The 14,488-nt window shown below is 53.5% G+C and overlaps 1 protein-coding gene across 2 annotated transcripts; it reads right to left on the reverse strand.

The window, feature by feature from the left end:
* KRT85 (keratin 85) lies at positions 5,253-12,728 on the reverse strand. Of its 2 annotated transcripts, NM_002283.4 has the most exons (9): positions 12,233-12,728; positions 10,209-10,417; positions 9,553-9,613; positions 9,315-9,410; positions 8,493-8,657; positions 8,101-8,226; positions 7,498-7,718; positions 6,714-6,745; positions 5,253-6,293 (listed from the first exon to the last, which is right to left on the reverse strand). In NM_002283.4, exons 1-9 carry the CDS (start codon positions 12,650-12,652, stop codon positions 6,100-6,102), a joined length of 1,524 nt encoding a protein of 507 aa, NP_002274.1. In that variant the 5' UTR covers positions 12,653-12,728; the 3' UTR covers positions 5,253-6,099. The 2 variants fall into 2 exon arrangements, with proteins under 2 accessions (NP_002274.1, NP_001287739.1); NM_001300810.1 differs by lacking the exons at positions 9,553-9,613; positions 10,209-10,417; positions 12,233-12,728 and adding an exon at positions 9,614-9,869.

The following is a 14,488-nucleotide window of genomic DNA, read 5'->3' on the forward strand; positions in this document are numbered from 1 at the left end:
CCCTGACTGTCTTGGTGCATCTCACAATGTGGTCCACCGACCACCACCTGCATCAGAATCCCTGTGGGGTAGTTGCTAAATGTGCAGATCCTGGGCTCCATCTGGAACTCTCAATCAAAAGTTCTAGGGATGAGCCCAGGAATCTGTATTTTAAGAAGCTTCCAGGTGATTCCTAGAAGAACTAAAGCTTGAGAACCACAGGTTGATGTGGGTAGAGGGAAGAGGAGGGTCGGATAATTCTGGCCATGGAAGTGACTGTCCCTCTGATTCTCACTGGATCGGTCTAGCCCCTTTGCATTTCTCCTTTGTCTGCGGCTAAAAGGTCAGAGCCATGGTCTGGGCCACACACACACCAGGGCAAGGTGGGGGCAAAGGTACAAAAGGGGTGAGGAAGGGAGCCTGTATTTGTTAAACACCTGCTAGGTGTCTGGCACATTATATATGTATTTCATTAATTTCTCACAGCAACCAGAATATTATCCTCATTTTACGTATAAATAAATTAAGGCTCAAAGAAGTAGCTTTACTAAGTTACCCAGCTAGTCCAGAATTCAAACTCATGTCTAGGGAATGCTGCTGTTCATAAATGTTTCCACAGCATTTCCCTAATTGCTCCTCAGGCTAAACATTCCGGCTCATCAGATGCTTCCGGAGGAGTTCTGCCTGATGCTCCTTCACCAGCTGTCTGACACTTTGGAGATGAGATGGAAGGTGACACATGGGACCTCCTAGAAGCATTTGTAGAAACATCTCCCCGTAGGTTCTGTTCTCCAAGAATCTCGGACAGATCGTACCACGGGGCGGTTAATACAAGCCTTTTATATGGGAACCCAAGATCAAAGCTCAGACACGTGGTTGGAAGGCATTTGCCCTGATAACCTGGTCAGAGGCAATTGATTGGTGAACTGTATGTCTGGCCTACTCTTGAACTGACAGTTCCCTAGAAGTCCTACCTAGGGCTGTCTCACCTGTATGTGATGAATGGAGACAGGGGTTTCTGAAGGTCAACTTTCTTTCACTTGTTGTACAGGAAGAACTATTTCTCCCACCTTATTTTATTTGGAACTTTTTTTTTTTTAAGCCTGACTGGGTAGGAAACATTTTGCCACAAGAATGCATATCTGATCTCATGACATAGAAAAGTCTTTAAAAGGTTTTTTTTTTCTTTTCTTTTCCATGGTGCTCACGCACATTGCCAAACCTTCTGGTACCAGCTCCGGACCTGCCAAGGCAATGGCTTGGCACCCCGGCCTAGGGGTGGAGTCTGGGGGAGCAGGGCCTGGCCTTTTGACTACCTGCGGGTTCGCTCCCCACATCCCATTCACTGCAGACGGGCGACCCCCGAGGGTCTTTATAAAACCTCTGTGCCAGGACGCACTAGGCACCTAGACTTCGGAGAGGAGGGCGCCGACCCCGGCCACGGTGCTATGGGCATGTCACGGGGCAGCCCTGAGCAGCCAATAACCCCCAAACACCCTGCCCACTACCCCAAAACGGCGGGCAGGTGGCGCCCAGCTCGCCCTCCCGTCCCTCCCGGCGCCCAGCCCCTAGGCCCCTCACCACTGGGGTTAGAGGCTAAGGGCGGGACGCGGGGCGTCTCGGGCAGGGGTGAAGGAGGGCAGCCGGGGCCCAGGCGTGGAGGGCGGGCGCGTTTGAGAGAGGCGCAGGCGGCGGGATCCCGGCGGACGGCAGAAGACTCAGGAACCAGTCCAGAGGCGCCGAGGCGCGAACCTTGCGTGAGCCAAGGACCCAAGGCCCCTGTGGATCTGATCCCGCGGGCTCCAGCAGGGCCCGCGCCGTGCATCTGGAGATGGGCCCAGGATACCCGGTGGCTGGACGTGACGGTGGGCAGGCAGGCAGGGCAGGGCACGGGGCGACCCGTGAGCAAAGCGAGGGTGGGGGTAGGAGGGGTGTGGCCCCTGACTCTCGTGGGTGGGGAGATGGGGGACAACGGTGGCCTCAACGGGAGACGGGGCCAAAGTGGGGACCTGCAGGGAGGACCTGCAGGCCCCTTGTTACACTGTAAACTGTCCCCACCCAGGTGGCCTGCGGACCACCGAGGCTGAGGAAGTCCTGCTGGCCTGGACGGTGACTCGCCTTCCCATCCCGAGTCTCTCGCATCCAGAGGGCCAGCACTGCACGGGCGACATAACAGAGAAGAGCCTTTGAATGGTTCTCCTCGGCCACGCAGTTCTTCTGATGTCTTCAGACTCTGTTTCAGTGACCACAATGGCCAGGCAGTGACTTGACCTGGGCGGACAGAGGTCTATCTTAGTAGGGTGGTGCTTCCCTTGTCTCTGTCTCCCGGACCAAAGGGTCTTGCAGGGGCCTGCCCATCACAGTCCGGATCCCACCAAGTTTGAGCAGCAGTAAAGCCAGGTTAAAAGGGTCACCAGAGTGACTCTGAGGAGGAAACGGTGTCTCAGGGGGCATTGGCTGCCCTGGGGCATGGGACTGTGGACTGGGGAAGGGTCTGTGTTTCCTTTTGATGGTGGTGGAGGGTGGCTATTTGTCTATGAATGCCTTGGGTATTTTCTTCATTTTTAATGCGTAAGCTTATCATGCTGTCCCCGCCTCACCCCACTCCCTGGCTGCTCCCCTGCCAACATGGGGGAGCCCTCGGTTTTTGAACAAAGCGGAAATGAGCAGGGATTTCCAGGCATGCACAGGTTGGGGGTTGGGGGTTGGGGGAGGCAGGAAGGTGGCCTGAGGCTCTGTGAAATAAGCCTCTCCCATTGCTTGTTCTGCCTGGCATGTCCCTACACCCAAGGAGTGTGGCGCTTAGTGCCCATGTCGTTGTTGCTCTGATCCTCAATGAGCAAAACACTTAGTACAGTCACTTCCTAATGCTCATGTTCCCAGAGAGAGACAGGAGTGTGAATAACCCAGACAAGGGGACATTAAGTCCCACATGGTCATGTCCGTGTCTACACAGAACATACTTGGTAATTTTCTTGATAATATGGTTAATTTGTGTTCCTCACTATGCTTGGCTAATGTGAGTAGTAACACAAAATTCTATTTTCTGAGATCCCAAAGATTGAAGCAGGGAACAGTTAGAGACACGGGCTGGGGGAAGGAACTCTCTTGGGCATAGGTGTTTGTGAGGATGGGTTGAAGCAGAGTGGGTTGAGAATTGGTGGTGGAGTGTTAGTGGTTTCAGGAGAAAGGAAAAGATGACAAATCCCAAGCGTACCTGTTTCTTTGAACAGGTTATTATCCATACTTCTAATCCTCTGGAAGCTTTGTGTGTTTGTGGGGAAGGATATCACTAACATTTACATAAGAATTGAATACAGACAGCAGGTCTGATTTTCTCTGATGCTGGTGTTAGCTTGGTTTGTGATGTTTCTAAGCAGGAAGGAGCCCAGGGCAGAGATCTGGGATCACTCCCATGGCCCACTTTATTGTTTGGGCCTCTTGAACTTCTGGCTTTTCCTCGATCTCTCAATTTCAGGTCACTTGACTTCTTCAGAATTTTTTCTTTCTAATAAAATGTTAATCCTTAGTTACCCTTGGACTGTACCCTTTGCATTCCGAGGGGAATAGTTCTTTGATCAGGAGAGAGCTGCAGGAGCCCCAGCATCCTTTGAGCCAGAAGAGCTTGCTGTGGTGGGTTTTTGCTGTTGGCTGCAAGGAGGGCTGGGGCAGAGGCTTACCTCCCCATAAGCAAAAGGCACCTCTGGCCAGCTGAATCTGTTGAATGGTATTTGCACACAAAGCACGGAAATGTATTAAAAAATTCATTCCTATCTCCCAGGTTCTGGCTGTTTGACTTTTCAATCCATGGTGCCGTTATTTTTTGGGTATCAGATTTGGCATTTTTGTTTTGCTCAGCCCAGATCCATGGTAACATGAAGCTGTTTTCCCCAAGCATAGACTCTCTGTAGCATCTCAGAACCATAGGAGGCAGCAGACCTGGTAAGGACTCTACCCACTCATCTCATAGACCCCAGACTGACATGCAAAGCATGAAAGCCACTTCCTGCCCAAGGACTCACCGAGACCTGGCAGTCTTGGCAGAATTGGGGCTCAAATTTCCATTTCCTGATGTTTCAGCCCCTGGGATTTAACGTTTCCTGTGGGTGAATGATGTCCCCTAAATTGAAAGTTGGCCTATTGTGATTGTCACCATGCCCTCAGGGCCCAAACAGCTGGGAAAAAGGAGGCAGCAGGCAAGAGACCTGGAGGAGGCCCGCCAGGTGTCAGCCAGCAAACCTCAAACAGAGCAGCAGCCTAAGCACTCAGAAGCAGCCAGCAGCCTCCAGTGGGGCTACAGCCCTTTGGGCCTAAAGTGAGGATGCACAAGGCCCTATCTTCTCCTCTCAGAGAAAGAGGCTGCAGGATGGGGCAGCAGGGGGCTGGCAGACACCTGCTTGATGACGGTGACAGCTAATGGGGAGATGGAGCTGAGGGCAAGAGGACTGGATGTCTCTACCTCCTGCTGCACCAGCTGCCTGCATTCATCCAGCACATCCCAGGCCTGGCATATCTTGGAGCCCCATCCTGGGACTCAGTGGGAGGTCAGAGCCAGGAGGAGATACTTCCTGTCCTTATGGAATTTCCAGCTTGATCCAGACACACCCGTTGACATCCCTGGCCCAGATCCGCAGAGACAAAACCAGAGATTCTCAGGGTTCCAGACACTATATGATGGGGGCGGGGGAGGGCTGGGGGGTGTAGGGGTGAGGGTGGTAGCTTTGGGGAGCAGAGGAGGGCCCTGAGCAAAGGCAAATGGGAGGAGGGATGTGGGATGGCCTATGTGTCCACAAGGGGTATGTAGGAGAGAGTGTCTCTGGGCTGCCTCAGAGGGTAGACTTGTCTCCTTGGGGTGGAGTCCATGACTGGGAGGATGAGCACCGCATGGAGGGGTTGGACAGGGCTGAGGAGTAGCTGGGGAAGGAGGTGACAGAGGAAGCCTGCATTTGGCATAAGAAGCACACACATGTGCCAGGAAGTGACTTGAGCCAGGCAGGAGAGGGTGAGAGCAGTGAGTTTGGGATGGAGTTTTGGCTGCTGGGAGTACGCAGGGTGGGTCAGGGAGAAAGAGGTCATTAGTGGGGAGCTGGGCTGTAGTCCAGGCCTGAGGGGACTGAGGGCGACTGAGTGGAATCAGACTGTGGAAGTGGACAGGAAGCAGCAGAGTTTCTGGGGGGTGACTGGGGAAACACTGCATGGGGCTGGACTGGGATTGGTCATCTGGAGATGAGGCAAGAAGGGAGTGGAGAAGTTGCTCACAAGACCACACGCTCTTGCATTGCAGCGGCATTTATTGAAACACAGATCGAGACAACCCAGAAGGCAATGCACCCATAGACAGTCACAAGAAGGAGACCCAGGAAGTGGCTTAACTCTCTGTCCCGCCAGCTCTGCATTGGACAGTCCCCACCTGCACCCAGCAAGGGGGCATCTGGAGCAGCCATGGAGTCTTCTTTGAAATGTACAAAGGTTCACTGAATAGCAAGACCTGTCCAAAGTGCCCTAACCAGGGGCTGTAGGCAAAAGGATGCCCCACGATAATGGGCTTCTCAACTGCGAGGTCACATGAGGAGCCTGGCTGGAACAGGTTAGCCCAGAAGCAGGAAGGCAGTCTGAGAGAGAAGCAAAACATGAACAGGAATGAACAGGCAAGTGCTTGCTGGGGGACCATTCTTCCCAGCCAGGAGGAGGGGGCTGCTGGGGAGGGACTTTCTCCCTGATTCTCGGGTTGTGGGTGGCCTGGCTGGATGGTTAGGATGGCGCCTCCACCCAGAAGGTGGAGCTTCCGTGCTGACCACCACGCTGGGGGACTGGTCTTGTCCCTGAGAGCTGGGGGAATAATACAAATTGGATACAGGTATTTTGGAGCTAAGTAGGAGTTAAGTGAAGGGCTGGGAATGCCTCTGAAAACAGCTGCCAGGAGGACAACTAGGATGCATCTCCCTAGCATGAAAAGGCGCAGGGGAGCGGCCCGAGGGTCTTTCCCTCTGTAGGTCTTTCCCTCTGTAGGAACATCCAGAAGATTCTGGAAGCAAGCACACATTTTCCATTCACATGCCATTCAGTGCAGTGATGCAGGCAGGCAGGTGCTTGGCAGGAAGCCCTGGCTCCATGACTCTACTAGGCAAAGCGGACCGACCGGCTACTCCCGCAGCTGAAGCTGGAGGAACGAGGCTGGCAGGGGGCACAGGAGTCAGGGGCCACCACCGTGATGCTGCCGCCTATGGCTGAGGGGCCAGAAGTGATCTGGCGCCCTGGGGTGGTGCTGTAGGAGAGGCCCCCACAGGAGACTCCACCACGGGAGCTGCTGACACCTGTGGAGAGAGGAGACATGGAGGGGTGAGCAGCTCCCTGCAATCTCACCCACCCTACAACAGGCCCCAGGGCACTGCAGGAGCTGCCTCCCTCTCCAAGGAATTGGTGGTCAACAATGCAGGCCCTGTCCCTGAGATGCACAGCCCATCTAGGGAACTGGGGCAGGAAGGAAGTGAGGACCCCTGGACCCCGGGGAGCAAAGCTGCCAGGCCACAGGTCCATGGCCTATAGCTCACTGTCAACACTTGCGAAGAGCACTCAGCTCAGCTTTCTCTAACACCTGTCATGGCCCCCACTGAGGAGCCAGGGGAGGGTGAAACAGTTGGGGGAACACTCGAGGCTCCATGGGTTAGGCCAATGAGTTCAGCTTTTCTATCAAAAAAGCCATTTTTCCAGGAGAATTTCAGGCAGATACTCACAGACATTCACAGAGCCCACACCTTCACACAGCCTATGGAGAAAGAAAACTCTGTTAGTTCCAGACACTGAGTTGGATTCCTTGAGACTGATGGTTGCTTGGGGACAGAGAGGGTCATCCTGTGTACAGAGTCTACCCCTGAAAGGCAAGAAGGGCTCCCTCAAATCTGCATTAAATGCTTTCTTTCTTTGATGGTTTTAACCATGAAGACAAGGCTTTCTGATTTTCAGCAGCAGTGGGTAAGATTATGAACAGTGCCCCTAGTTTGAGTGATGGTGGCCAGCCTGGATGGTGCCAATCAAGCTCACAGGAAGGAGAGTTGAATCAGATACACCAGGGTGTGAAGGGGCTTTGTGGTTGATGAAGAGCTAAATGCATATAGAAGTGCATCATCATCATAACACACAGGCCTGTGTGGCAGCAGCTTCAGTAGGAAGCTATTCAACAAGGACGGATTTGGGAGGCATGAGACTTGGGTGCAGGTCCCAGCTCTTCTGCTTATTAACTGCGTAGCCATGATAAAGGCACTGAATTCTGAGCCTGCTTCTTTATCTAAAGATAAAAAGATGGGAAAAACCATATCTATCTTATTGGATTGTGAGGATTATAAAATAAACACTTAGCACAGGTCTAGCACAGAAGCATTCAGTTATTATTATTATTATTATTGAAGCTATTGTATTAGCCATGGCCAGAGTTGTAGCTCACACTCAGCTCAAGGAAATTCACTCCTGGAGGACCACAGCCTCCACCTCTGAAACCCCACAAAGTCCTCTTAGCCCCACCTGTGTTCCTCGCCCTCCAGCAGGCGCCTGTAGGTGGCGATCTCGATGTCCAGGCCCAGCTTGGAGTTCATCACCTCCTGGTACTCCTTGAGCAGGCAGGCCATGTCCTGCTTGGCCTTCTGCAGGGCGCCCTCCAGCTCAGCCAGCTTGCAGCGGGCATCGCTGAGGGCCGCCTCACCCTGCTGCTCTGCCTCAGCCACAGCAGCCTCCAGCTTGGCACGCTATCAGGTGGAGATACAAGGGCCAGGATGAGAAAGAGAAGCCACAGCTTGGCTCACCCAAGCTGATGGAGCCAGGGCAGGGAGAGGAGGGTCCTGGAGAGAAGGTTGGCCCGTGGCCAGGTAGTTAATGGGGCTGTGAATATGAGGGAGGAGATGGGTGGGCTTTTCATCATCTCTCCTTGATGGCGGTCACAGGGTGGCCAAGGAAGGGGCTGGATCCTCCTTTGGAAGTCAGTGACATGGTCTGATTGCTGTGAAATATGATAGAGCCCCTCCCTTCCCTCTGGGTCCCTGCTTCCTCATGGGCACACTGTGAAGCCTGATTAGGGCCAGGTGCTGCAGCCTGCCTGTGCTGCGTATTTGAATCCTCCACAGACCCCACCTGGCACTTGGCATTCTCAATCTCGGCCGTCAGCCTCTGGATCATGCGGTTCAGCTCGTTGATCTCCTCCTTGGTGCGGCGCAGGGTCTCCCCATGCCTGATCACCGTGGCCTTCATCTCCTCACACTGGAGGAAGTAGAGATGCTCATGAGGCTCAGGGTGGGGCCCCCCATCCATTCAGGACACCACAGATGACTATACAGGTTGTACGGTGCTCAGCCTGTGCAACCACACATGGCAGTCCTGCCCTGCCACTTCAACCTGAGAACTACTGGCTTTTCTCATACTGTCCTCATGGGTCAGAATCCCCAGGCAAGAGAAATCTTTTCTAATAGATGCCTAACTTCCCTCCCACTGCCATGCTTAGCAGGCAGGTGTCCTGTGCCACTCACCTTGCTACGGTACCAGGACTCAGCCTCGGCCCGGCTGCGGCTGGCAACATCGTCATACTGAGCCTTGATCTCAGCGATGATGCAGTCCATGTTCAGGTCTCGGCTGTTGTCCATCTTGACTATGACCGAGGTGTCTGAGATGTGGGCTTGGAGAACGCGGATCTCCTGTGGGGCCAACAGCCAGTGCATTTGCTTCTAGTGCCTGATCTGGGCCACGTGATCCACCCCAGGGGACAATGTCCACTTCCCAGACCGGGCACTGGTCATGAAGGTTACATGACTCCTGCTCCTACCACCTTCACTCATGCACAGGCTCCTTAAAAACAACAAAGCTGAAAGGGGCTGTAGAGGCCATCTGGGAACAGTGTCTGCCTTAAAAGTGGGAAAACTGAGGCCCAGAGGGTGAAAAAGATCTGGTCCAAAGTCACCCAGCAGGGGAGCTGGGGTTTGGAGGCTAGGATGAGTGATTAGTCAGTCCATTAATGAGGACCATGCCCTATGTGCGAAGCCATCCTGACCCCCACCACACATGCACACTCTCTTGCCCATCTGTAGACTGGCACTCACACAGGCAGCACACCAACATGCAGAGAGGTCACAGACACAGAGCAGCCCAAGAACATGTACACCCCATGCTCCTCTCACACATGAACGTGGACATGGCCTCTGTATTGTGGGCCCCAGCACGTATGTGCAAGCTCTTTTCACACTTACATTGCACATTGGCAAACATAGGCACACACATGCACCCTTGCCTCACTGCTCCCCTGTCTCCAAAACACCCCTCCACCTGCCCTGGCTGGGTGGCAGTTGCCCCCTTACCTCTTCATAGAGGCGCCTCAGGAAGCTAGACTCCTCCACCAGGGCCTCCACATTGGCCTCCAGGTCTGATTTCCGCAGGTAGGCACAGTCCACGTCCTGGCCGTGGGACAAAGAGGAGGGGACATGCATGTGAGAGGAGACCAAAGAAAGGTGCCTTTGGTCAGCATGGTGACCCTGCCCCTCGCTGGAGTTTGCACTGATGGGCCCCCTCCTCCTTGCCCCATGACCAGCCCCTCACCTTCTTTAGAACGACAAACTCATTCTCTGCTGTGGCTCTCAGGGCCACCTCCTCTTCATACCTGGGTGTGGGAGAGAGAAGGTCTGGAGCTGAGAAACTGGACCTTGAATACCATCCCAACTCCTGGGCAAGTTCTTCCGGGGATTGAAAAGGGATTAATCCCCTCCAGATGTTGTCTTGGCCCCTCCAGGATCTATTTTTTGTATTATTCATGGGCCAGCCCTTGTCCTAGCCTGGCTTCATTCCGCCGCAGTCCTTCTGCCTCTGAGATGGGGTTAGGAATGCACATTCCTTCCCCCAAGTCTAAAATCATCTGTGCATCCTAGGTCCCAAGAGAGCTGGTTCCATTGGCAGGGAGATCACAGAGCCCATGTCATAAAGGTAAGCTGTGAAGGACAGGGACATAGAGAGTGCTAGAATTCCACTGGATTTCCTCTCTTCATTCCCCCAGAAGTAGCTCTAAGGCTCACAGGGGTGGAGTCTTAGAGGTGAATCCCAGGAATCTGAAGAAATCTAGGCCCCACTGGATATCTGCTCTGGGTTCCAGGCAGCCTGCTAGAGGAATCTGAAAGAAGCTGTGGCAAGAGGGCTATGGGCAGAGCCTCCCAGCATTCTCTCTGAGTTTCCCCTGAGTCCCCCCAGCTTGCTGCACTCACTTCTTCTTGTAGCCCTCCAGCACCTCCTGCACATGGTTGAGCTCTGAGGCCAGCCTCCCGCTGTCGGCCTCCACGCACTCGGCCTCCCGCCGCAGAGTCTCGATGTAGCCACTGAACAGTGGCTCCAGGTTGCTCTCGCAGCAGCGCTGGTTCTGGTAGAACTGCCACTTGGTCTCCAGCAGCTTGTTCTGCTGCTCCAGGAAGCGCACCTGCCATTCAGGTGGAAAGAAGAAGTCAGAGGGAGCCTGGGGGGAGGCACCTGGTCCCCCACAGTCTCTCTGCCCTCGGGTGCTGGCTGAATGGGCTGAGCCATAAAGCTGAGTGTCTGCGGCTCAAGGGGCCCATTCCCAGGCCCCCAGGGAGGCAGTTGTGGGTGTGAGGGAAAGCAGTCTGACTCAAAGCCAAAGGTCTGTTTCGAGCCCCAGTTTTGATACTTTAGAGAGCAAGTTGTTTAACCTCCTGGGGCTCAGTTTTCTCCTTTCCAAAATGGAGCGAATAGTGTCTGTCTTAGCACTGTTGTGAAGCTTGAACAAGTTAATGCATATCAAGTGCTTAGAACAGTCCCTGACACGTAGTAAATGCTCAGTCTATTTAACTATTATTATAATTACCAGTTGCCCTTCACTTGCTCATTTATGCAACAAACACTTATTAAATATTTACTACTTAGTGCCAAGGCCTGTGGTAAGATATACACATCCATGTCTAATGTCTGTGTCTATGTCTATATCATCTAACTATGCATTCCATTCAATTATCACAGCCCTGTGGGATGTAGATATTACTTACCCCATGTTGCACATGGGGAAATTGAGACCCCCAAGGTGTGAAATGCCCAGCTCATGGTAAGCGATAGTCTTGAGATAGGCATGCTCTGCCTCCCCCTACAGCATGTCTGAGATGCTCGTATACACCCCCTTAGCTCCAAGTTGCTGTCTGATAAGTGGAGACGCTGATACCCACTCCAACCCGTCACTGTGAGGATGGACTCAGATCACTAAAGAAAGAGTGAAAACGTGAAGGTGACTGCCTCTGCCCCCAAACCCTGATCCTAGGCCCCCAAAGCTGCTCCTTCTGCTCTGCTAGAGGCCTGTGGACACAGGAGGAGCCTGTGAAGGAGGCTCCCAGCCTCCCCCGACAAAACTTTCTTGGGAGGCAGCCTCACAGCTATGCAGCGTTCTCCACACTCTGGCTGCATTAGGGGGCCTCCTCCTACCAGCCTGGCCACCTCCCTGTCTGCATTTCAGCCCTCTCTCATGAAGGGGCTGCCAGGCCTGGGTTGGCTGTCACACCTCCTCACCTACCACTGTCCTTGGAAAATAATGATAGTAGCAGCTAACATGTATTGAGTGCTGACTATTTGCCATCATGTTTCATGCATGGACTCATTAATTCCTCACAGGTGGATGAGGCAGTCCTGTTATTCAGCAGAGTAACCTGCCTGGGGTCTCACACTGCTGAGTGATGCAGCAAGGACTTGGGAGAGGCAGCATGGCTGTGGGCATTACCCCAGCCCCTTCACGGGCTGCCTGGCTAGGAGCCACAAGGTCTTTTGGTCTCCCCGTTATCTCCCACTCTTCCAGCACCTGCTGCCCAGTCTGGTTTTTCAGACACAGTTCTGATAGTCCTATGTCGTCTTGGCTCAAGAAACACACACACGCTCACACACATGTACACACTCACATGCATACACACACATATGCTCACACACATGTACACACACACATATACACACCACACACTAACATACGTACAGGCGCACACACCGCTACACACACACACATGTACACACACACACATGCACACACTTTGGATCACAGGCTCAATTTCTAGACCACACCTGGACCTCGTTAAATGCTGCGGGAGTTAAGTGATGGAAACTGACCCTTCCACCTGTATGGGTCTGCACGTCATTCCCTCTGCTGCCTCAAACCGGCAGCCATCCTGTCTCCTCAGCAGACTGGGACCTCCCCAAGGGAGGACAGGGCTGGAGGCTTCTCTGGGCCGTCTCAGGCCTCACCCACCTTGTCGATGAAGGCCGCGAACCTGCTGTTGAGGGACTTGATCTGCTCCTTCTCCTCCTGCTTCACGCACTGTGCGTTGGGGTCGATCTCCAGGTTGAGGGGCGTGAGGAGGCTCTCGTTGACCGACACGGTAGTGATGCATGGGGGGCTGGGTCCGCACACGCCCCCGGAGCGGTAGCCGAAGCTGCGTCCGCAGGAGCCGGCTCGGAAGCCACCTACAGCTATCCGGGGCCCGCAGGAGCCCAGGTTGCAGAGGCTGCGGCTGCCGAAGCCCGTCAGCCCTCGGTAGCAGGACACCCCTCGGTAGGGGGCGGCGCTGATGCAGCAGCGGTTGCCAGTTTTGGGGGCCACAGCTGAGCAGGAGCTGAAGTTCCTGGTGACCCCGCATCCTGAGCTGATCCTGTAGGAGCGGCACGACATCGTGTGAGGCTGAGCAGAGTCTGAGAGGCAGCGGAAGGTGGTGCGGGCGGCAGAGTGCGAGGCTCAGGATCCTTCTGCTCTCTCTGATCCTCCCTGGTCCTTTTATTGGTGGGGAGAGCTGGGGTTGGCTGCATAAAAGGAGTGGAAAGCCATTTTATGTTGTTTATGGGCTTGGGGAGTTTGCCAGCAACTCCCCACGGACTCATCTTAAAGGTGAGCTCAGCAGCGACTCTGGGGCTCCCTGAAGTCTTGAAGATGTTATTAAGGAGACTGCATTTGAACTTTTCATCTTCAAAGCTCGTTTACATACATTAAGTAATTAATTTTCTCACAGTCTTTCTGTGAGATGGCCTCAACCCACACTTGGAGACGGATTTGAACTCCACAACAGCCTGGGGGTGGCTGGGTTTGGGATACAGGCAGGAGCCATTGTCTCAAGGGAGAGGTTGGAGGGTCCTGGGTTAGGTGAGACTTGGGGGATCATTGCATTCATCTATCTGGTTCCACAGAGGACACATTCTCAAGTAAATCATTGCATTTCAGGGGCCAATAGGTCAGGCGAATCCCACCCCATCTAGGCAGCATTGCTTGGAAGGTGGTTCAGGACCAGAGCGGTCATTTTGACCATGCCCGTGCCAGGATAAAAGGCTGGGGCAGATGATCTCTTGGAACCTTCTGGATTCCAGCCCAGAAGGCGCTGGTCCAGAGCTTTCACTTCTCACCCAGCAAAAGTGCAAACCACAGAACTCTCAGTGGCCACAATAATGGCTACTTGCGGATTATGGGGAGACTCCCTCTAGCCACTTTCTTCCATTCGGTCAAAAGGATTGGAGAACTCAACCTTGGGATAACCTGGGGGCTATAAATTTGCTGTGGGCACCTTTGCTTTGCTCTTTAAGAAGAAACAGGTCATGTGAGTCTCCCTTCCCAGACCACCAGCTACAAGAGGTATTCCTTCTGTTGGCCAGCCCTTGAATTGTCATCCCTAGAGGAGTGTTTAGAGACTGCATTGCACAAAGCTGGAAGTGGGATAGTGGTTTATTCTTGTCTAAGGTGGCTATGACTTCTGGCTCCTGGGGGTTCTGGGAGCCCCATCCTTCTAGTTTCTGCTTCCCTGTGTGTCCTTGGGACACTTATTAGGATAACAAGTGCTATTCTTTTAATGTTTATGGAGTACAAACCTTGGGGATGTGGGTCTGCCCCCAGGAAGGTTAGCCAGACACCCAAGTGTTAGGAACTTAAGGAAGAAGAGCCGATGAGCTTCCTCAGAGGGTGACTCCTCCTCCAGGAAGCCTTCCATAACCAAACACTGCCATCATGCTGCTGTTCTCATAAGTCCTTCACGAAATGCCCTGTACTCTGTCCTGCATCTGCTCTAATCTCCACAGCCAGCTGACCTCACCCAGGACCTTCACCCAGGATCAGGCTGATCGATTCCCACCTCACCTCCACATTCCACATTGTTCTTCAGGGCAGGGTAGAGAGACCTTGGCAGCTGGTGGGGGAAGAGCAGGTGGTCTCACCAGCTGACCCTAGAACATATGCAGATCATAATCATCCATGGAAAAGCAACTGCGTTTGGCAACCCGGGCAATGGAATCAAAGCTGGAAGACCTGGTTCAAGGGCCAGTTTGGATCCTTCCTAGCTGTATGGTTTTGGAGGAAGTTCTTAAACTCTCTGAGCCTCTGTTTCCTTAACTGTAATGTGGATTCATCCTTACCTTCCCGGGCTGTTGGGAGGGTGAAGAGGATGATATGTGAGGGAAAGCTCTGTGTAAAGGAAAGGGACTGTTGCTTTCCACGAGAAACATTCCCACCTGCCTCACCCAGCAGAAA

The sequence above is a fragment of the Homo sapiens genome, chromosome 12 (genome assembly GCF_000001405.40).
Source record: "Homo sapiens chromosome 12, GRCh38.p14 Primary Assembly".
Lineage (NCBI taxonomy): Eukaryota > Metazoa > Chordata > Mammalia > Primates > Hominidae > Homo > Homo sapiens.